This window comes from Homo sapiens, chromosome 19 (assembly GCF_000001405.40).
Source record: "Homo sapiens chromosome 19, GRCh38.p14 Primary Assembly".
Classification (NCBI taxonomy): Eukaryota; Metazoa; Chordata; class Mammalia; order Primates; family Hominidae; genus Homo; species Homo sapiens.
Genome location: NC_000019.10, coordinates 39,692,033 through 39,715,442, shown reverse-complemented (window position 1 = coordinate 39,715,442; position 23,410 = coordinate 39,692,033). Strand labels below are relative to the sequence as shown.

Sequence of the window (23,410 nt, the reverse complement as noted above, 5' to 3'; positions counted from 1 at the left end):
GGAACCAAAAAAGAGCCCACATTGCCAAGTCAATCCTAAGCCAAAAGAACATAGCTGGAGGCATCACACTACCTGACTTTAAAGTATAATGCAAGGCTACAGTAACCAAAACAGCATGGTATTGGTACCAAAACAGAGATACAGACCAATGGAACAGAACAGAGCCCTCAGAAATCATACCACATATCTACAACTGTCTGATCTTTGACAAACTTGACAAAAACAAGCAATGGGGAAAGGATTCCCTATTTAATAAATGGTGCTGGGAAACTGGTTGGCCATCTGTAGAAAGCTGAAACTGGATCCCTTCCTTACACCTTATACAAAAATTAATTCAAGATGGATTAAAGACTTAAATGTTAGACCTAAAACCATAAAAACCCTAGAAGAAAACCTAGGCAATACCATTCAGGACATAGGCATGGGCAAGGACTTCATGTCTAAAACACCAAAAGCAATGGCAACAAAAGCCAAAATTGACAAATGGGATCTAATTAAACTAAAGAGCTTCTGCACAGCAAAAGAAACTACCATCAGAGTGAATAGGCAACCTACAAAATGGGAGAAAATTTTTGCAACCTACTCATCTGACAAAGGGCTAATATCCAGAATCTACAATGAACACAAACAAATTTACAAGAAAAAAACAAACAACCCCATCAAAAAGTGGGCGAAGGATATGAGCAGACACTTCTCAAAAGAAGACATTTATGCAGCCAAAAAACACATGAAAAAATGCTCACCATCACTGGCCTTCAGAGAAATGCAAATCAAAACCGCAATGAGATACCATCTCACACCAGTTAGAATGGCGATCATTAAAGTCAGGAAACAACAGGTGCTGGAGAGGATGTGGAGAAATAGGAACACTTTTACACTGTTGGTGGGACTGTAAACTAGTTCAACCATTGTGGAAGTCAGTGTGGCGATTCCTCAGGGATCTAGAACTAGCAATACCATTTGACCCAGCCATCCCATTACTGGCTATATACCCAAAGGATTATAAATCATGGTGCTATAAAGACACATGCACATGTATGTTTATTGAGGCACTATTCACAATAGCAAAGACTTGGAACCAACCCCACTGTCCAACAATGATAGATTGGATTAAGAAAATGTGGCACATATACACCTTGGAATACTATGCAGCCATAAAAAATGATGAGTTCACGTCCTTTGTAGGGACATGGAGGAAGCTGGAAACCATTATTCTCAGCAAACTATCGCAAGGACAAAAAACCAAACACCGCATGTTCTGACTCATAGGTGGGAATTGAACAATGAGAACACGTGGACACAGGAAGGGGAACATCACACACCGGGGACTGTCATGGGTGTGGGGAGGGGAGAGGGATAGCATTAGGAGATATACCTAATGCTAAATGACGAGTTAATGGGTGCAGCACACCAACATGGCACATGTATACATATGTAACAAACCTGCACATTGTGCACATGTACCCTAAAACCTAAAGTATAATAATAATAAAATTAAAATAAAATGAAATAAAATAAAATTCAAGAAGATAACATTGAAAAACTCTTCTAGACATTGGCTTAGGTAAAGAATTCATGACTACGAACCCAAAAGCAAATGCAACGAAAATAAATAAATGAGATCTATCTAAACTAAACATCTTCTGTGCAGTAAAAGAAATAATCAGCAGAGTAAACAGACCACTCACAGAGTGGGAAAAAATATTCACAAACTATGCATCTGACAGAAGACTAAGATTCAGAATCTACAAGGAACTCAAACAAATCAGCAAGAAAAAAGCAACCACATCAAAAAGCGGGCTAGGGACATGAATAGACAATTCTCAAAAGAAGACATACAAATGGCCAACAAGCACATGAAAAAATGCTCAGCATCACTAATTATTAGGGAAATGCAAATCAAAACAATAATGCAGTACCACCTCATTCCTGCAAGAATGGCCATAATAAAAAATAATAAATAAAAAAGGATTTTGGCATGGATGAGGTGATCAGGAAACACTTCTATACTGCTGTTGGGAATGTAAACTAGTATGGCTGCTATGGAAAACAGTGTGGAGATTTTTAAAAGAACTAAAAATAAAACTACAATTTGATTCAGCAATCCCACTACTGGGTATCTACCCAGAGGACAAGAAGTTAATATTTGAAAAGAATACTTGTACATGCATGTTTCTAGTGACACAATTCACAATAGCAAAATTGTGGAGCCAACACAAATGTCCATCAATCAACAAATGGATTAAAAAAAGGTACATATATATCCATTGTGTGTGTAGGTATATATATATATACACACACACAATGGAATACTATGCAACCACAAAAAGAAATGAATTATCAGCATTTGCAGTAACCTGAATGAGATTGGAGACTATTATTTTAAGTGAAGTAACTCAGGAATGGAAAACAAACATATGTTCTCAATGATATGTGGGAGCTAACCTATGAGGACACAAAGGCATAAAAATAATATGATGGGCTTTGGGGACTTGGGGGGGAAGAGTGGAGGGGGATGAGGGATAAAAGACTACAAATATGACACAGTTTGGGTAATGGGTGCACCAAAATCTCACAAATCACAAATAAAGAACTTACTCATGTAACCAAATACAACCTGTATCACAATAACTTATGGGAAAAAATAAACTAAATTAATGAGTTAAAAAAATAAAAATAAAATAAAATTTCAGTACAAAGACAAAAAATATGTAAAAACTGCCAATAAATATATGAAAAAAATGTTCAACATTACTAATCATCAGGGAAATGCAAACTAAAACCATAATACCAAACACATGGAATCAACATAAATGTCCATCAATTACAGATTGAATACAGAAAATATGTTACATATACATCATGGAATATTATGCAGCCATAAAAAAGAACAAGGTCATGTCTTTTGAGGGAACATAGATGGAGCTAGAGGCCATTAACCTTAGCAAATTAATGCAGGACCAGAAGAAAAATACTTCGTGTTCTCACTTATAAGTGGAAGCTAAACGATGAGAACTCATAACCACAAAGAAGTAAATGACAAACACTGGGGCCTATTTGAGAGCAGAGGGTGAGAAGAGGGAGAAGAGCACAAAAAATAACTATTGGTACTTTGCTCAGTACCTGGGTGGTGAAATAATCTATACAACAAACACCTGTGACAAGGGGTTTACCTATATAACAAACCTGCACATGCACACTTGAACTTAAAAGAAAAGTTAAAGAATGGTAAAAATAAATAAAATGGGGAAATTTTTTAAATTTCTTTTTTATTCTATCTTCTTGGTCCATCACTTGCAAATAGAGGCCCACATACACCAATGTTTAGTAGCATCACAGATGGCATCCCAGAGGAATCGCAACACTGAGAGAGTTAGGCATCAAGGACATTATTATCACAGAGTATATTTATTCTTTGGGGGCTTCTGTTATAACTGGAAAGACCAAAAGACCTTTGAGATGAGGAGGCTTTAGAGTTCATTAAAGAGTTTCTGCTTTTTGACCAATCCCCTTTTTGCTGGGAGAAGACAATGAATTTTGATTGAGCAGGAGGAGGAAAAATGTTGAGTAGATTTTCAGAGGCAATTCAAAAATTATTAGTTGAGCATTCACCCTGGACTCTATGTAATCTCTTTGTATCTAAGATGTAATTCCTGACCACTATGAACACAGAGTAGCAGCTGAATAAAGATGAATGTAACGAATGACCTTTAGGAAGTGCACTGAGGTGGTGAATATCATTCAAGAAAGGACAATCACTGTGTGTTTGCCTAACAGGGCCGGCATGTAAAATTATGTCAGTTATTCAAATAAAATGACTGCCAGGCAAGCGGCAAGTTGATGTGAAATCCAAGTCGTTTTCTGCTCATGAAGCCAGTGGTTTCAGGATAGTTTGCATCCACTCAGAGCACAAATTACACAATTCCCCCCAAAAATGAATTCCATGCTGGTGATAGGGCCTATAATTCATTATCAAAATAAAGAAGTGATCAAGACTGTGACAGGGAAGGTGTAAGGAGGACAGTGTATCTAATCAGAACACAAGAGTTTCCAGTGAGAGGGGAGGGAATTTCATTCCATACTGAAAAGAAACAAGGAAGAGAGGCATGAAGAGTGCCATTCACTGTGCGTTGGCACCTCAAGGTATCTGGATGTTAGGTTAAAGGAGGGGTAAGCAGAGAGGCATACCCATGAGTGAGGTTGGAGTTGCAGAAACTGTTGCAGTGAACATGGAGAGAGAAAATGAGAATGATTAAAATGACACCTAAGATGGTCCTTGCAAACAAAGAGGCTATTTGGTGGGACTCTCTTCATCCTGCCTTCATTGATTTTTAGATAATATTTTGTTTCTCTTCTCCTAAGTGGTTCTCCATACATGCTATGAAGCAGATAATCACAGCTCTTACAGTGGGAAAAGGGCTGCCATTCTGCCATTTTGGTAAGAAATCCAAGAAGCTGAGAATGGAGGGTGAGGACAAGTGCTACAGAGAAACATTCCCAGAGAAAATGAAAATAGATGTCTGGTTGGTTTCACCAGTGATATGGATTAGTGACTGCTGTCTATTTTATTTTGCCTCTCTAAAATAGGTGTGTTCATTGCCTTTTTCCTATCTCTTTTTGTCTTTTTTGTTTGATTTGTATAAAGCGGATAATGTGTCCCTTTTGTGCACATGTTGAGAGAGATTGCAAGTGATAATTTGTAGTCACCTTATAGACACCACATCCTGATTAGATAAGATACAGCACTTAACTCTGAGCCTGTTCCTGTTATAGTAATGTCTTCAGAGATTCCTTACAGGGTTAGTGTTGTTAGTATGTGGGAAGTATATAAGCCAGTTACGACTGAGTGAAACTGGTTGCCAAAGATGGCTCCTCATGACTACAGTCACAATAATCACAGCTTGTGGAGTCCTCTCCTTTTGATTAGGGCTCTCTGTGTGACTCAACTTGCTCAATGTAAAGTCATAGAAGTGACACTGTCTGCCATTCAAAGGTAGGTCCTATAATGCCATGCACTGTCTCCATGAGCCTTTTGGAAGGCTTTCTTTGCTGAAAGCCAATCACCATTCCTTAAGTCCGAGAACCGTGAGACTCTCCTGATTTGAACATATTCAAGGAATGAATGGAAAGGTGTGGTAGTGAAAGAGATAACCCACCAGTTTCTAGGTGTTCATCCAGCCCTAGTGTTGAGTTGGACAGGAGGGAAGCATCCTCTGAAATCACAGCCTAAAAGATTTCTCTGTAAATGACTCTCATCACATGACCTACCACTCACATGAGTTGAATAAACCTGTAAAGCTGGCAGAGATCAAAATTAATGATTGTTTTTAGTCAATATGTGTTGGGAGGTGTGCTATGCTACAATTTGTCACTGGAACAGCAGCAAAGCAGCGTCTGCTCACTGTGTCCATGTACATGGACTGTGTCTATTCCAATAATAATCTACATGTTCTCTGATCTAAAACCATGACCACTTATTTCCAAAGAGAAACCCCTTAATTCTGCACACATAAAATGGAAAAATCTTTGAATATTTGGAAATAAGAATAATTGAGATTCTTTAAGGAAAACACTAGGCTCCAATATTTCCCTACTACTTAGATTGAAAACTTCACAATGTGCCTACACAATAAGCATCCTGAGAACAATGAAAAAAATTAAGGAATTCCACATGATTTCCCTCAAGTTACAGGTTCTGCCCACAGCCACTAGGTATACCTGTGTGGCTGTAAACAGCTACCTAACATTTCAGTGCAGTGAGTCATCTGACATTGGGTAAGGATTTTGGTTCAGACTGTCTGACATCAACTACCTACTATAGAAGAATGTTGTTTCTGATGTCTTCTCAGACATTCCAGGGACTTTGTCACTCACTCCCTTTGTCACAGGAAGGTTTATCCCCTTTGATTTCCTGATGCCTCCCATAGAATGTCCTGGACCCTCTTGGGGATGACCACTTCCTCTTTTCCCCTCTTAAAGCAAGAACCAATCATGTGAAGTTTGGTGCTGTTTTAATGATCAAGTGTAGGGGAAGGGGTGAGGAGGGATTATTCTGTTAGTAGGCTCTGGGAATCCCATGGTCAGGTAGAAAGAGGGATTCCTCAACAATGAGGAGTCTGATCATCTCCCTCAATCGCTGATAAGCACTCTGGTCAGGGAGATATCTCTGAAGACTTGCAGCATCTTCACAGATGCTGGCGGGAATCGATGGGCAAAGTTGTAAATGCGTTGGCCATTTACCATTACCTACAAGAGGAAAAATGCATCAGAAAGACAGCATGCCACCAAACAGGTTTTCAGCCCTTTCTCTTCTCTGCCCAGTTACAAATAACCTTCCCCATGAAAACTCCTAGTTACACAAGTGAACCTAGTAGACACACTTCTGTGATTTTACAGGCTATGTTTCGTGCCTATTTGAGACAGATGCTCATTTTATTTCTAATGTTTTCTCTCATTCCCCTAGTGAAGTTATACACCGTGTCACACAGTCCGTTTACTCGGCCTCCCTTCCAACCTGGAAGATCCCCATCACCAGGGACGGTGTCTCAGGAACTTGAGACCCTGCATCTCGCACAGGACCTGCCAGAGGGTTAGTGCGAGGCCATGTTCATTGAATGCATACTTTTCAGTTCCATGAACTGTGACTGCCTTTCACTACTGATGGCACAGTTCCTCTTTGGAGTAGCCTACATCTGAGGTGTTAGTGGCAAAGAATGAAACCCAGGGTTCTTAGAGAGTTAAAGGAGGACAGGTCTTGTAAAACATAGGATATTATCTTCAACAACTTTTAAGCCTAGGAAAAGATCCCTCACTTGAATCTGAATAAGATGTGAATCTTTTGGCCTACTCATTAGAGAAAGCCAAAAAGAATGGAAACTATGGATATATTCCTTATGTCGAGGCTATAGAGAAAGTCACCTTCTTAGTGTTAATTTTTCAAATTTAAAATTTACACATTTTTGAGCTGTTTTTTTCATTTTTTTCTAATTATCTTCCAGTATAAGTATTGGGAAATTAGTAATGACAAGAGGATTGACTATAAAACTTAATACGGCATCATTTGTGAGAGCAAAATACTGGAAACAACTTTAATGCCCAAAAAAGGGTCAAGTTCAATAATTTTGGGTAAACTTTTTAATGCAATATTATGTAATCTTTAAAAACTGAAGCGGCACCGTGGATTGATAATGTCTTCAAGATATATTCTTTGACAACAAATCAACTTAGTTGCTAAAGTGTAATGTGTAGAGCAACTTACACCAGGATTTGCTTAAAAACAAATGCAATCATAGACATATCTACATGCTTCCATAGGAAAAGATTTCCTCTGAAAGGCTGGGCACGGTGGCTTATGCCTGTAATCCCAGTATTTTGGGAGGCCAAGGTGAGCAAATCACACAAGGTCGGGAGTTGAAGACAAGCCTGGCCAACATGGTGAAACTCTTCTTCTACTAAAAATACAAAAGTTAACAAGGTGTGATGGCATGCACCTGTAATTCCGGCTACTTGGGAGACTAAGGCAAGAGAATTGCTTGAATCTGGGTGGTGGAGTTTGCAATGAGCTGTGATCACGCCACTGCACTCCAACCTGGATGACAAAGTGAGACTCTGTCTCAAAAAAATAAAAAAATAAAAAGTTTCTTTCTGAAGAAGAGCAGAACTCTAGTAATGGTGTTCTTATGAGTAGAATTGGGCCCAAAATTGAAACATAATTTTTGAATGATTAAAACCACCTTTTTCTTAAGTATATAGTATACATTCAGCTAAATGAAAATTTTAAAAATGGCATAAGTAGAAATGAGCACTATGGGAAAAGACAGAGGAGATTCTCCACTTTGGAGGAAATGGCAGGTGAGCCGACCTTGATCTTGGTCAGATTTGGGAAAGAGCTGAGGATGGCAGTGCAAGCAGAGGGTGCTCTGTGATGAAAACCTGAAACAGGAATAGTTATGGAAGATGGGCCCCAAGGGACTGGTGGCACCAGGTCAATGAAAGCTGCCTCCTGCTCTAAGAGCCCACAGAGCTCCAGCGCTGGAAGATCCTGAAGTACTCACCTTGTATTCCTTGTGACGCACATAGATGCACAGCTCAAATGGTTTGCCATCTTCAAAGGGTAAATAGTAGCATTTCTCCTCATATCTCCATATGCCAAACACACAACTGTTCATGATTGCAGGATGACCAAAGTGCAGTCGGAATTGGAAAGCAATATCTGAGTCCTCATCCATCCCAGTGTAGAAATTCACCTCCAGCTGTGGGTCCTTGCTGAGGTCAAAGCACACAGCATGTTGGGCAGGTCCCCCCATTGTGCAGACACACACTCGCCACACACACAAATCCCTTCCCCCCTTTACCCAGGGCAAAAAGTCTCCCCGATGATACTGCAGTCCTGGTCCCTGTGGGGACGCTTTAGCTCCTCATGCCCCCAGGCAGGGAGATGCTGTGTTCCTCATCCCCAGACAAAAACTGAGCGCCAGTCAGTGACATGGGCCTATGACTTGTTCATTTCCTGAAAATTCTATGCCCTTTAATAAAGAGCCACAACCCAAACCCACTGAGTGTTCTCCTCCCCTAGGTTCCGTGGCTGGCCTGCATGCAGTTTCTACAGGTCTCATGTCTGTTGCTGGAAGGTCTCCAGGGCCTGCACTTGCATGAGGCCTTCATTATGCCAACTAGAGTTTTCCACATCACTCACACATAAGGTTAAACCCTTAGCAAATATTCTCCCTTCTCTCCTCCACCCCCTCCATTGGACCATGGAGTACTCACACAAAAGTGAGGATCGGTGTCCCTGTGATTATCACGCACGAACCAACAGGCAAGGAAACAGGCAGTGTGTATGGTACCTGCCAGGGTATGGAGAGTGAGTGAGAGCTAAAGGGTAAGGTGTAACCTCCCCTATGTAACAGATTCCCATGGTGCAGGAGGTTAGAGATCAAAGGTCAGACTCTGAGGCCTCTCCCCTTTCACCCTACCACAGTCAGGGCCCCATATTCCTGAAGATATGGTGGATCCATAGGTAAGAGCAATTGTTCAAGAGCCCGGATGCCTGGATTCCAGTCCTCATTTTGCCTTATACTAGCAGTGCAATCTTAGATCTATTACTTAACCTCTCCCTGCCTCAGTTTCCCCAGGACAAGGAGGACTATCAGGAATTCCTACTTTGTAGGGTGTTCTCAGTAATAGAGGAGTTAATATAGGTAAAACTTTTACCCTAATCCCTGGCATGTATAGGGTCAATTAGGGGTGACCTAACAGAACAGGGGAGTCCTCCTGAAACACTGACCTGCCTTATTTTCAACTCAGAAAATGAAAACAAGACTTGAGGGTGAAAGAATTTAAAAATTCACTCCAGTGAGAAACAACACTTGTTGAAAGAGAAAGGGAAATGACGAAAGAACAGGAAACCCCTGTGTGTGGGATGTACACGCACCACAATCATCAAGGGCAATGGACGTCCTTCCCAGAAGCGGCACACATTACTGACAGCACAGCCCCAGTACTTGCACAAATGAAGCCTGTGGGTCAGGGACATAACTGGAGGGAATGATTGATTTCTACGACGACTGCAAGTGGTTGATGATTTTTCTGTATTTTTGAGATAGGGTCTTGCTCTGTCACCCAGGCTGATATGCAGTGGTGCAATCACAGCTCACTGAAACATCGAACTCCTGGACTGCAGTGATCCTCACACATCTGCCCCCTCTTGTGTAGCTGGGGTGAAAGGTGTCTGCCACTCTGCCAGTCAGATATTTAAAGATTTTTAAAGAAAGCATATCACTATGATGCCTAGACCGGTCTCAAATTTCTGGCCTCAAGTTACCCTCCCATCTTTGCCTCCCAAATTGGTGGGATTATAGTCATGAACCAGTGAACCCAGCTGCTTTGTTGAGTAATGTCCACAGTAAGCACTGTCTGAATTCAGACAGCTTGTTCTTTCATGAGTGGAGGAACAAGTTTAGTCTCAGTTCAGACAGAGCTTACAGTGGATATTTTGTTTGATTCCGTCTCTTTAACCACGGCCTCTAATATTCTTCCCTGGCAAATCAGTATCTTCACACTCGCCTGTTCCACAATGGGAAGAACAGGCTGGGCTAGCGACAGGGAAGCTGAGCCTGGGAGGCAAAAGCCAGTGATCACTCTGTGCAGTCCCCACCTGAGGAACCATCTCTCCCATAATCTGCGTTCCTTTTCCTCACTCTTACTGGGAAGAGATATCTACTGATGATATATTTCGCTCTCATAAGTGATCTGAAACGAGTCCTTGGTAACTCACAATCCCCAAGATCCCCACCAGTTAAGCCACTTGGGATCCACATTGCCACACATGAAAAGACACACAGGTGCTTCATCAGAGGTGCTGCTGTGTGGGGAGGAACCTTCACATGCACAGAAGGCCACGTGCATGTTTTCCCTTCAATACCCAGTCACATCCCAGCACACACACCCATAGTCACACAGAGCCATGCCACTCACTGAGTTACACACACCTGCTCACTGTGCACATAAAGATGACCATGCACTGGTCTGGCTGTGCCCACACACACTCACATCACAGACAGGAAGACAAAGCACACTCACCCCCTTACACTCACTCACACACTTGCCGGTCCTGGTGGGTCATCCACCTCCCACCTAAAGTCACTTAATCTCAGCAGAGTTCACTCTCATCAGACACCACCACACCCTCACAGAGGGTTACACTGGTCCAGGGTCCACAGCCTACACCCACAATCATCTCAGATACCACAGCCTCAGGGTTTCTCTTCTACACACCCACAACTCTCGGTAATGCATTCACAGTAGGAATGCTCATATTTTCAACTCAGAAAACCTCCCCTGTTTCTTTCTTGGTTTATGTGACTTGAGATTATTGAAGGCTGTGACTTTTCAACTCACGGGTAGTGATGACATTGTTCTCTCCTTCTGGGCAGCTCTTCGGAATTGTGTCCAGTCTTCTGTGTGAATCTCTGAGTGGGATCATTTAAATGCTGCAACTCAGAGATGCCCTTTGGCTTCATGCCAGATTCCAAGCCCCTCCCAGCAAGCTTTCCGTGCAGCAGGAGAAAGACTCAGGTGTCAGAAAGAAACTCTGTCACAACCATAGATGTTTGCAGGTCTGTGTCTGTAATGCAGCAGAAATGACAGTGGGGGAGGTACCAGGCTGTGGATTGGGTTACCAGGGAAATGCATAGATAAGGATGATGGAGTGAGGGGTAGGGATTGTAAAGCCCAGCCTTTGTGCCTCTCAAGCTTTTTCTCCAGTATGCAGAATCTAGCCAGAAGGTGTACATTTCCTCAATTTGTACAATGACTAAAAATAAAAAATTGGGAATTTTGGAAAAAGACGTTAGACCTAGAAGGTAATTCTTCTCTTTGCCTTTAAAGGTTCTGGGAGGGCCTTTAAGGGTCAGATCCTTTTGACCTTGATCCTCAGGAGGATCTGGGAAGAGAAGTAGAGATAGTTCTTGCATGAACCTGCCTCACACTAGGCCCCTTGGATCTGCCAGGTGAGGGTCACTCTCATCTGTCTGTCACATACCTGGGCTCTAGCTGCATTCTCTGCTTTGTCTTGGAGTCCATGTAAAACAAAGTTTCAGAGATATTGTTTCTCCTGCAGATTCTGGGAGAAAGATGAGATTTTTTTTCTTTTTTCTTTTTTTTTACTTTTATTATAGGTTCAGGGGTACATATGCAGATAAAGTCATGTCATGAGGTTTGTGGTACATATGATTTCTTCACCTGGGTACTAAGCGTAGTACCCAATAGTTATTTTCTCTGCTCCTATCTCACCTTTCACCCTCCAACCTCAAGTAGGCTTCTGTGTGTGTTGTTCCCCTATTGGTGTCCATGAGTCTCATCATTTAGTTCACAATTATAAGTGAGAACATGCAGTATTTGGTTTTCTGTTCCTGCATTAGTTTGCTAAAAATAATGGCCTCCAGCTCCATCCATGTTCCTGCAAAAGACATGAACTCATTCTTTTTTAGGGCTTCATAGTATTCCATTGTGTATATGTATCACATTATCTGTATCCAATCTGTCCTTGATGGCATTTGGGTTCATTCTGTGTCTTTGCTATTGTGCACAGTGTTGCAATGAACATTCATATGCATATGTCTTTAAGGCAGAATAATTTCTATTCTTCTGTGTATACAGTAGTGTATACACCATTCCCAGTAATGGGATTGCGGGGTTTAATGGTAGTTCTGTTATAAGCTCTTTGAGGAATCACCACACTGCTTTCCACAATGGGTGAGCTAATTTACACCACCGCCAATAATCTGTAAGTGCTCCTTTTTCTCCACACCCTTGCCAGCATCTGTCCTTTTTTGACTTTTTAAGAAGAGCCATTCTGACTGGTGTGAGATGGTATCTCATTGTAGTTTTGATTTGCATTTCTCTAATGTTCAGTGATATTGAGCTTTTATTATATACTTGTTGGCCACCTGTATGTGTACTTTTGAGAAGCGTCCCCTGTCTCTACTAAAAATACAAAATATTAGCCGGGCCGGTGGCGGGCGCCTATAGTCCCAGCTACTCAGGAGGCTGAGGCAGGAGAATGGCATGAATGCGGGAGGGAGAGCTTGCAGTGAGCCAAGATCATGCCACTGCATTCCAGCCTGGGGGACAGAGTGAGACTTCATCTCAAAAAAAAAAGAAAAGAAAAGAAAAGAAAAGTATCTGTTCTCTGTTCTTGTCTTTTCTCGCCTTTTGTTGTTGTTTTAAGACAGGTCTCACTCTGACATTCAGGCTGGAGTGGTGTGGCTCCATCTTGGCTCACTGCAACCTCTGGCTCCTGGGCTCAGGTGATCCTCCCAGCTCAGTATCCTGAGTAGCTGGTACTGCATACCAGCTGTGCAGACCTCACCTAAGGGACCAGTACCCCCGTAGTCTGTATTCCTCTTCCCCACACTTATTGGAAAGAGACACCTACAGATCATACATTCTGCCTTTAAATTGTTCTTTTTGCCTTTAAAGATTCTGGGACAGCACTGCCCTTGATCCTCAGGATGATCCGGGGGGGAGGTAGAGAACGTCCTTGCATGAACCTGCCCCATGCTAAGCCCTTTGGCTCTACCAGGTGAGGGCTGCTCTCATCTGTCTGTCCCACACCTGGACTCTAGCAATACTCTCTCCTTTCTCTTGATGTCCATGTGAATCAAAGTTTCAGAGACACTGTTTCTCCTGCAGATTCCAGAAGAAAGGTGACATTGGTTTTTTTCTTTGTTTTTTAAACGTTTATTTTATGTTCAGGGGTACATATGCAGGGAAACTCGTGTCATGGGGTTTGCGGTAAAGATTATTTCACATCCAGGTACTAAGCCTAGTACCCAATAGTTATTTTTTCTGCTCCTGTCTCACCTTTTACCCTCCACCCTTAAGTAGGTCTCAGTGTGTGTTGTTTCCCTCTTGGTATCCATGGGCCTCATCATTTAGCTCACACTTCTAAGTGAGAACATGCAGTATTTTGTTTTTCATTTCCACATTGGTTCACTAAGGTTAATGACCTCCAACTCCATCCATGTTCCTGCAAAAGTCATAATCTCATTCTTTTTTGAGGCTGCATAGTATTCTATGGTGTATATGTACCACATTTTCTCTATCCAGTCTGTCCTTTATGAGCTATTAGGTTGAGTCCATGTTTTTGCTATTGTGCATACTGTTGTAATAAACATTCATGTGCACGTTTTTATGGTAGAATGATTTATATTCTTCTGGGTATATACTCAGTGATGGGATAGCTGGGTTGAATGGTAGTTCTATTTTAGCCATTCGAGGAACCATCACATTTCTTTCCACAATGATTAAACTAATTTACACTGCCACCAAAAATGTGTAAGTGTTCCCTTTTCTTCACAAACTTGCCAGTTTCTGTTATTTTTTGACTTTTGAATACTAGCCATTCTGACTGGTGAGAGATGGTATCCCATGGTGGTTTTGATTTGCATTTTTCTAACGTTCAGGGCTGTTGAGCTTCTTTTCATATGCTCGTTGGCCACATGTATGTCTTCTTTTAAGAAGTATCTGTTCCTGTTCTTTGTCTACTTTTTTTGAGACAGCCTGGTCTGACACCCAGGCTGAAGTGCAGTGGTGAAATCTCGTCTCACTGCAACCTCTGCCTGGGCTCAGGCGATCCTCCCAGCTCACCTTCCTGAGTCCCTGAGATTACAGGTGCCTGAGACAAGACTCAGCTAATTTTTCTATTTTTCATAGAGATAGGGTTTTGCCGTGTTGCCAAAGCTGGTCTTGAACTTCTGGACTCAAGCAATCCACCTACCTTAGCCACCCAAAGTGCTGGAATTACAAGCGTGAGCCACTGCACCCAGCCCTTTGCCCACTTTTTTATGGGGTTGTTTGTTCTTTTCTTGTAAAGTTGTTAAAGTTCCTTATAGAAGCTAGATATTAGACAATTTTCAGATACATAATTTGCAAATATTTTCTCCTATTCTGTAGGTTGTCAGTTGACTCTGTTGATAGGTTCTGTTGCTGTGCAGAAGCTCTTTAGTTTAAATAGATCCATTTGTCAATTTTTGCTTTTCTTGTGATTGCTTTTGGCATCTTTGTCAGGAATCTTTTGCCTATTTCTACATTCGGTATGGTACTGCCTAGGTAGACTTCCAGGGTTTTTATAGTTTTGGGTTTTACATTTAAGTCTTTAACCCATCTTCAGTTGATTTTTCTATATAACGCAAGAAAGTGGTTCAGGTTCAATCATCTGCACGTGGCTAGCTAGTTATCCAAAAATTATTTCCATTGCTTGTTTGGTCAACTTTGTCAAAGATCAGATTGCTGTAGGTGTGGGACCTTACTTCTTGCCTCTCTTTTCTGTTCCATTGGTCTATGTGTCTGTTTTTATGCAAGTACTATGCTGTTAGGTTACTCTGGCCCTATAGTGCAGCTTGAAGTTGGGTAATGTGATGCTTCTAGCTTTGTTCTTTTTGCTTTGGAATATCTTTTATTCAACCCACTCGGTTCAATTAATATTTAAAATATTCATTTTAAAATAGATTGTTCTAATTCTGTGAAGAATGTTATTGATAGTTCAATAGGAATACCATTGAATCTGTACATTTCTTTGGGCAATGTGGTTGTTTTAATGATAGTTATTCTTGCTATCTGTGAGCATGGAATGTTTTTCCATTTGTTTGGGTCTTCTCTACTTTTTTAAGCAGTGTTTTGTAATTCTCATTGTAACAATCTTTCACCTCCCAGTTAGTTGTATTCCTAGATATTCTATTCTTTTTATGGAAATTGTGAATGGAATTGCATTCTTGATTTGGCCCTGTGGTTCGTTGTCTTTGGCATGTAGGAATTCTAGTGATTTTTGCACATTGATTTTGTATGCTGAAACTTTGCGAAAGTTGTTTACCAGCTTAACGATCGTTTGGGTGGAAACTGTGAGGTTTTCCAGATATAGAATCATATCTCTAAACATGGATGGTTTAACCTTGTTCTCTATTTGGATGCCATTTGTTTCTTTCTCTTGCTGAACTCTCTGGCTGGTACTTCAAATACTATGCTGAATAAAAGTGGTGATAGAAGGCATTGCAGAAATTGTGGTTTGAAAATCCAAATTCATTTCCTGCTCCATATATCATGCATATTTTGAGCTGCAATTTATCAAATACAAAACAAAACAAAAAATTTATCTCCTAATTCTGTTTTATTAGCCCCTCACTTGCAAATACAGGCCTAGAAGCACCAGTGCTCAGCATCACGGACAGCACCCCAGAGGAAACAGCTTTGGTGGACTTAGGCATCAAGGACATTTTCAAAGACTAGATTTATTCTTTGGGGGCTTTCAGCAAAAACTGAAAAGCCCTCCAGACCTTTCAGAAGGCAAGGCTTTAGAGTCCAAGAATAACCTTCTGTGTTTTGAGCAATGCTATATTTAGTGGGAATGCTGTATTTAGTGAATTTAGGTTGAGGAGCATGAAAAAGATGTTGAGTAGGTCCCCAGAGGCAAATCAAAACTTGCTTGTTGAACATTGCTTCCTGGTCTCTATGTGTTATCTTTTTATCTGAGACATCACTCCTGGCTACCATGAGCACAGGATAGTAGGTAGTATAAAGATGAGTGTAACAAATGGCCTATGTGAACTGAACTGAGCTGGTGAATATCAGTTAAGAAAAGGCAGTCACTGTGTGTTTGTCTAGCACAGGCAGCATGTAGGACCCTGTAGGTTATTCAAATACAATTGGAATCATCCAGGGACATATAGATATGAAATTAAACTCATGTTCTGCTCAGAAATTCATGGGTTCTGGCCAGGCGCAGTGGCTCACGCCTGTAATCCCGGCACTTTGGGAAGCCGAGGTGGGTGTATCACCTGAGGTCAGTAATTCGAGACTAACCTGGCCAACATGGTGAAACCCCTTCTCTACTAAAAATACAAAAATTAGGCGGACATGGTGACAGATGCCTCTAATCCCAGCTACTTGGGAGGTTGAGGCAGGAGAATTGCTTGAAACTGGAAGGTGGAGGTTGCAGTGACCCGAGATCACACCACTGCACTCTAGCCTGGGCAACAAGAGTGAAACTCCATCTCAAAAAAAAAAAAAACTTCATGGGTTATGGGTTCCAAGATAGTCTTAATCCACTCTGAGCAAGAATTGCCTAATTGCCCAAAAATGACTTCCATGCTGGTGAGGAGGCCTATGCTCCATCATCAAAATAGAGAAGTGACCAAAACTGTGAGTGGGATGATACAAGGAGGTGAGTATACCTAACAAGAACCTGAGACTTTCCAGTGAGAGGGGAGAAAATTTCAGCTTATACTGGAAAGAAACAAAAAAGAGAGGCATGAATGTATTATTTACTGTGCATTGACACCTCAAGGTAACTGGATGTTAGGTTAAAGGAGGGAAAGGAGAGAGGCATATCTATGAGTAAGGTTGCTGTTGAACAAGCTGCGGCAATAAACATGGGAAGACAGGATGAGGATGATCAAAATGCCACCTGATATGGGCCCTGCTGACAAAGAGGCTATTTGATGAGACCCTCTTCAATCTGCATTGTTTGGCTTTTAGGTAATTTGCTGTTTATCTTCTAAGTGGTTCTCTTTTTGTTCTATGAACCAGGTGACCACAGCTCCTGTATCGAGAAAAGGGCTGTCATTGTGTCATCTTGGTAGGAGTTCCAAGAAACTGACAATAGATGGTGGAGCCAATTGTCACAGGGAACCACTTTCAGAGAAGATGAAAATAGGGTCCAATAATGTGGACGAGTGACTGCTGCCTATTTTCTTTTTTGTTCTTGTTTGTTTTTATTTGTTTCTTTGTTTTAATCTCTATTCATGTTTAATGTGCTAGCACAGTTTCTTTCATTGGATGTAAGTCTTGCATATCAATTCAAGGAAGATCACTTAGTCCAACTTAATGAAAAATATATCCTTTAAGTACTTATGGAAACACAAGCGGCACACATCAAGACAGTATTTTTGGATAAGGCCATGCTGGTTTGAGCAGATGTAACAAGAGTGAGAACCCTGGCTGAATTTTCGTGGGTAGCTCCAGTAGAGCTATTGGTGACCATCTTGCTTTCAGGGTGCTGTTTATTATTTTTTGCCCTTCTAAAATAGATGTGTCCACTGCATTTTCCTATATCTGTTTCAGTCTTGTATGTTTGATTTGTATAGGGGAGGTAATGTATTCATTTAATGCATATGTTGAGAGAAAGTGCACCTGATAATTTGTAGTCACCTCATGGACACCAGATCCTGATTAAACGATAAGACTCTAAACTTCAATCTGAGCCTGTTTCTGTAATCATATTGCATTCAGTGGTTCCTTACAGGATAGTGTTTTTGGAATGTGGAAAGCATTTAAGCCACTGAGGAATGAGTGGGAATAGTTGCCAAAAATGCTCCCTCATGACAACAGGTCAAAATAACCACAGCTTATGGAATCCCCACCCTTTGATTTGGGCTGTCTGTATAGCTCACTTTGATCAATATAATGTCACAGTACTGATACTGTGTGCCTTTCAAAGCTAGGTCCTATGATGCCTTGCACCTTCTTCCTGAGCCTTTTGGAAGGCTTTCTTTAGTGGAAGCCAATTATCATTCATTAAGTCTAAGAATCATGAGACTCTCATGATTTGAGAAAATTCAAGGCATGAATGGGGAGGTGAAGTAGGGAATAAAATAACCAGCCAGCCCCCAGATGTTCACCCAGCTCTAGTGTTGGGTCAGGCATCAGTGAAGCATCCTCTGGAATCCCAGCCTGAAAGATGCTTCGGAAAACATGATTCTCACCACATGACCTACCTCTCACATGAGTCCAGTTAACTGAGAAAGGTCAGAATAAATGATTGCTCTAAGCCAACATGTGTTGGGAGGTTTGCTGTGCTGCAATGCCTAGTGAAACAGCAGCAAAGCAAGGTCTGCTCACTGTGTCCATGTGTATGAATTCTGTCCATCCCAACAATAAACTACATATTTTCTGGACTTAAACCATGACCATTTGTTTCCAAATAGAAATCTAAGGATTCTGCCACATACATCAGAAAAAACTCACAATTATCTTTAAACATCAACATTTGAGGTTCTTTAAGAGAAATTTTTGGGCTCCTGTGATTCTCTAACTATTGTTTGGATTAAAATTTTCATGTCAGAAATGTGTCTCTTTTTAAAGGTCCTGCATGGCAGTCTTTACAGACCAAAGCACCATGTTTATACACAATAAATATCCTGAGAACAATGGAAGGAATTAGGAAATTCCACCAGATTGTCCTCAAGTTACCAAATTTCTTCCCTGAGGTACACTTGTGTGGCTGTAAACAGCTACCTAACATTTCAGTGCAGTGAGTCATCTGAGATTGAGTAAGGATTTTGTTTCAGAGTCTCTGATGTCAACAATGTGATATAGAAGGATGCTGTACCTAATGTCTTCTCAGACATTCCAGGGACCTTGTCACTCACTCCTGAAGTCACACGAAGGCTTATCCTTTTTGATTTCTTGATGCCTCTCATAGAATTCCTTGGGCCCTCCTGGGAATGACCACTTTCTCTTTCTCCCTTAAAGCAAGAACCAAACAAATCCTCGGTAGTTTGGTGATGTTTTAATGACCAAGTGTAGCAGAAACAGTGAGGAGAGATCATGCTGTTAGTAGGCTCTGGAAATCCTATGGTCACATAGAAAGAGGGATTCCTCAACAATGAGGAGTGTGATCATCTGCATCAACTGCAGACAGACATTGAGGTCAGGGAGACATCTCTCCACACTTGCACCATCTTCACAGAACATGGTGGGAGTTATGGACAAAGCTGCAACAGTGTTGGCTATTTATTATTACCTACAAAAGGAAAAATGCATTAGAAAGACAGTATGCCACCAAACAAGCTTTCAGCCTCCTCTTTACTCTGTCCTAGTACCTACAACATCCCGTGAGAAAACTCCTAGTTATATAACTGAACTCAAAACACACACTTCTGTTTGCAGATCAACTTTTGTACCTATTTGAGACAGTTGTTTGCTTTATTTCTAATTTTTCCTCTCATACTTCCAGCAAGGCTGGTCTATGTTTGCTCAGCCTCCCCTCTAGCCTGGAAAACCCCCATAGATAGTGACTCTGTTTCATGAGCTTGAATCCCTGCATCTTGTACAGGAGTCCACACAGGATTAATGCTAGACTATATTCGTTGAATGCATATCTTTCAGTTTTATGAACTCTGACTGCCACTCACGCTGATGGCCCAGTTTCTCTTTGGAGTTACCTAGATCTGGGCTGGTGGTGGCCAAGAATAGATTTCAAGTGTTTTTGGAAAGGTAGAATCGGACAAGTGTTGCAAAACATAAGATATCATTTTAAACAGCTTCTAAGCACAGATAAAGATCCCTCACTTGAATCTGAATAAAATGTGAATCTTTTGGCGTTTGCCCTACACATTAGAAAGAGCCAGAACATTTGGACATATTCTTTATTACTAAGGCTGTAAAGTAACCTTCTAGGTGTCAATTTGTTAAATTTAAAATGCACACATTTTTGAACCTGTTATTTCATTTCTTTCTGATTATTTTTCATCATAAGTAAGAGAGGTGGATAATGACAAAAGAATTTACTAGAAATCTTATTACAGCACCATCTGTGAGAGCAAAATATTGGAAATAACCTCAATGCCCATCAAAAGAGTCAAGGTCAATAATTTTGGGTAATTGCTCTAATGCAACATTATGCAATCTTTAAAAATTGAGGCAGCACCATTAATAGAAGATGTCTTCAAGATATATATTTTTAACAACAAATTAACTCAGTTCCTAAAGGGTAATGTGTAAAGCAATGTATACTAGGAATTTCTTAAAAACAAATGAAAGTATAGATCTATATGCTTCCATAAGCAAAGATTTCCTGTGGAAGGAGAACAGAGCACTGGTAATGTTCTCAGGAGTAAGATTGGGTCCAGGAATGAGATAGACTTAATTTTTGATTGACTAAAACAATTTTATTTTTAGGAATATTGTATTCATTCAGCGAAGTGAAAAATTTAAATAACAGCATAAAGTGGAAGTGACCACAATGGGAAAAGATAGAGGAGATTCTCCACCTTGGGGGAAATGCGAGGTGAGCTGATATTGACCCTGGTCAGATTTGGGAAAAGAGCTGAGGATGATGGCGCAAGCAGAGCGTTTTGATGAAAAGCCCAAAGCAAAACTAGTTATGGGAGGTGGGTCCAGAGGGACTATTGGGGCCAAGCCAGGGAGAGCTGCCTCCTGCTCTGGGAGCCCATGGAGGGCTGGGTACTGGGAGCTCCTAGGGCACTCACCTGGTATTCATTGTCCAGCACCAAGATGCTCAGATCAAATGGCTTGCCATCCTAAAAGGGCACATTGTGGCATCTCCCCTCACACTTCCAGGCCCTACACACATGGCTGTCAATGGCCAGACAATGGCCAAAGTGCACTCAGAAATGGAAGGCGATGTCTGAGTCCTCATTTGTCCCAGTGTAGAATTCCACCCGCAGCTCTGGGTCATTGCTGAGGGCAAAGCACACAGAGTGTTGGGCAAGCCCCTCCCCCTCGTGGGGCACACACTCAACACACACACATCCCTTCCCCCCTTTCCCCAAAGAAGAAAGCAGGCTCCCTGGTGATACTGCAGGACTGGTTTCTGTGGGGCTGTTTTAGCACCTCATTCCCCCAGGTGGGGACATGCTCTGTCACTCATCACAAGATGGAAACTGAGCCACAGTCACTGACCTGAGCTATTACTTGTCCATTCTTTGAAAAGTCTATGCCCCTTGATAATGAGCCACACCCCCAATCCCTGAGTGTCCTCCTCCCCTAGGCCACATGACTGGCCCAAAGTGCAACCACTGCAGGTTTCATGCCTGGTGCTGGAGGGTCTCCAGGACCTGCAACTTAATTGGTGCCTTTATCATGCCAACTAGACATTTCCACATCACTCACATGAGGCCACTTCCTGAGTAAATATTCTCCCTTCTTTTCCACCCCCGTGCCATGGACCATGGAGTACTCACAAAAAAGGGAGGATCGGTGTCCCTCTGATTGTCATGGTAGAACCAATGGACAAGGACACAGGCATTGTGTGGGGCACCTGCTAGGGGACTGAGAGTGGGTGAGAGGGGCCCGGCCAGGTGTGGCCTCCCCTTTTCTAACAGATTCCCATGATGCAGAAGGTTAGAAATCAACAGGCAAACAGTGAGGACTTCTCTTTTTCACCCTATCACAGTCAGGACTCCATATTCCTGAAGACATGAGGGTCCCATAGTTAGGAACAAGGATTCAGGAGTCAGGCTGCCTGGATTCCACTCCTGATTCTGCCTCTTACTGGAAGTGCCATCTTAGATCTATTACTTGAATGCTGCCTACCTTAGTTTCCCAGGTACCAGGAGGATTATTTAAAACTCTTATTTTTCTTTGCTTTCTTTACTTTTTACTTTTTTGTCTTTATTAGAAATTCTTACTTTGTAGGGTGATTTTAGTGACAGAAGTTAATACGTGTAAAATCTTTAGCCTAATCCCTGGCATGTACAGGGCTTGTTGGGGGTGACCTAACACTATGGATTGGGTCCTTGTGGAATATTGACCTGAGATCAATTTCAACTCTGAAACTGTGAAAACTAGACTTGAGGATGTAACAGCAGAGAAATTCACTCCAGTAAGAAGCAACACTTGTTGAAAGAGAGAGGGAAATTGAAAAAGAACAGAAAACCCCTGTGTGTGGGATGCACGTGCATCACAGTCATCAAGGGCAATGGACGTCCTTCCCAGAAGTTGTAAAAATCTTGAGGACACAGCTCCAGCACTTGGACAAATGAAAAGTGTGGGTCAGGGAAGTAATTAGAGAGAACCTACAAGTGTATAATTTTTCTTCCTTTTTGAAACATGATCTCACTCTGTCACCCAGGCTGACATGCAGTGGTGCACCAATAGCTCACAAAGCCACAAACTCCTGTGCTGAAGGGATCCTCATGCCTTGGCCTCCTGAGTAGCTGTGATGAAAGAGGCCTGCCACAATGCCTGTCTGATACTTAAAAGTTTTTGTAAACACAGCATCTCACTATATTGCCCAGGCTGGTCTCAAACCTCTGGCCTCAAGTTATTTTCCCATCTTTGCTTGACAAAGTGCTGGGATTATGGGCATGAGCCAGTGAACCCAGCTACTCTGATGATTAATATCCACTGTAAACTCTGTCTGAACTGAGGCTACACTTGTTCCTTCCTGGTTTAGGGTGATTTAGTATCCGAAACCACAGACTCTAATGCTCTTCCTTAGAGAGCCAGGATCTGCAAACTCTCCAGACCCACAATAAGAAGGGCAGGCTTTGGTGGGAGCCAGGAAGAGACATGAGGCTGAAAGACAGGAGATGGTGGTCACTGTGTGCAGAACCTACCTGAGGAAACATCACTCCTATGATCTGCATTCCTCTTTCCCACTCTGCTTGGGAAGAGGCATCTAGAGAGCATGCTTTCTGCTCTCATTAATGCTCACAAATGAGTCATTGATAACTCACAGTCCCCAAGATTCACACCAGTTCTGCCACCTGGCATCCACATTGACACACATGGGAAGATGCACAGCTGCTTCATCAGAGGCCCTGCTGTGTGAGGAGGAAACTTGACATGCACAGAAGGCCACATGCATGTTCCCAGTTCAACACCCAGTCATATCCCAGCACTCACACACACCCATAGTCGCACAGAGTCACCCCACTCACTGAGTCACAAATGCCTGCTCGCTGTGCCTATAAAGATGCTCATGCATTGGTCTGGCCTTGCTCACACACACACTCACATCACAGTCGGGAAGACAAAACAGTCACCCTTTTACACTCAGGCACATCCCACCCATCCTGGTGGGCTCTCCACCTCCCACCTAAAGTCACATCATCTCAGCAGAGTTCACTCTCATCAGACACCATCACACCCTCACAGAAGGTTACAC

The 23,410-nt window shown here is 41.9% G+C and overlaps 1 protein-coding gene and 1 pseudogene across 2 annotated transcripts, besides 4 other annotated features; both read right to left on the bottom strand.

Annotated features, from left to right (window-relative positions):
• Positions 1-5,998: 5,998 nt before the first annotated feature.
• Positions 5,999-10,962, bottom strand: LGALS14 (galectin 14). 2 transcript variants are annotated; one of them, NM_203471.2, is made up of 5 exons: positions 10,900-10,962; positions 9,434-9,738; positions 8,770-8,846; positions 8,055-8,265; positions 5,999-6,246 (listed from the first exon to the last, which is right to left on the bottom strand). In NM_203471.2, the coding sequence occupies exons 2-5, from the start codon at positions 9,533-9,535 to the stop codon at positions 6,130-6,132; spliced, it is 507 nt and encodes a 168-aa protein (NP_982297.1). In that variant the 5' UTR covers positions 9,536-9,738; positions 10,900-10,962; the 3' UTR covers positions 5,999-6,129. The 2 variants fall into 2 exon arrangements, with proteins under 2 accessions (NP_982297.1, NP_064514.1); NM_020129.3 differs by lacking the exon at positions 9,434-9,738.
• Positions 6,321-6,640: an enhancer, noted in NCBI's record as "active region_14629". NCBI's record gives its function as "activates an Ori minimal core promoter by ATAC-STARR-seq in GM12878 lymphoblastoid cells {active_cell/tissue: GM12878}" and the evidence as "EXISTENCE:reporter gene assay evidence [ECO:0000049][PMID:35858748]".
• Positions 10,816-10,905: an enhancer, noted in NCBI's record as "active region_14628". NCBI's record gives its function as "activates an Ori minimal core promoter by ATAC-STARR-seq in GM12878 lymphoblastoid cells {active_cell/tissue: GM12878}" and the evidence as "EXISTENCE:reporter gene assay evidence [ECO:0000049][PMID:35858748]".
• Positions 10,926-11,055: an enhancer, noted in NCBI's record as "active region_14627". NCBI's record gives its function as "activates an Ori minimal core promoter by ATAC-STARR-seq in GM12878 lymphoblastoid cells {active_cell/tissue: GM12878}" and the evidence as "EXISTENCE:reporter gene assay evidence [ECO:0000049][PMID:35858748]".
• Positions 17,370-17,537, bottom strand: RPS29P27 (ribosomal protein S29 pseudogene 27; annotated as a pseudogene).
• Positions 22,577-22,726: an enhancer, noted in NCBI's record as "active region_14626". NCBI's record gives its function as "activates an Ori minimal core promoter by ATAC-STARR-seq in GM12878 lymphoblastoid cells {active_cell/tissue: GM12878}" and the evidence as "EXISTENCE:reporter gene assay evidence [ECO:0000049][PMID:35858748]".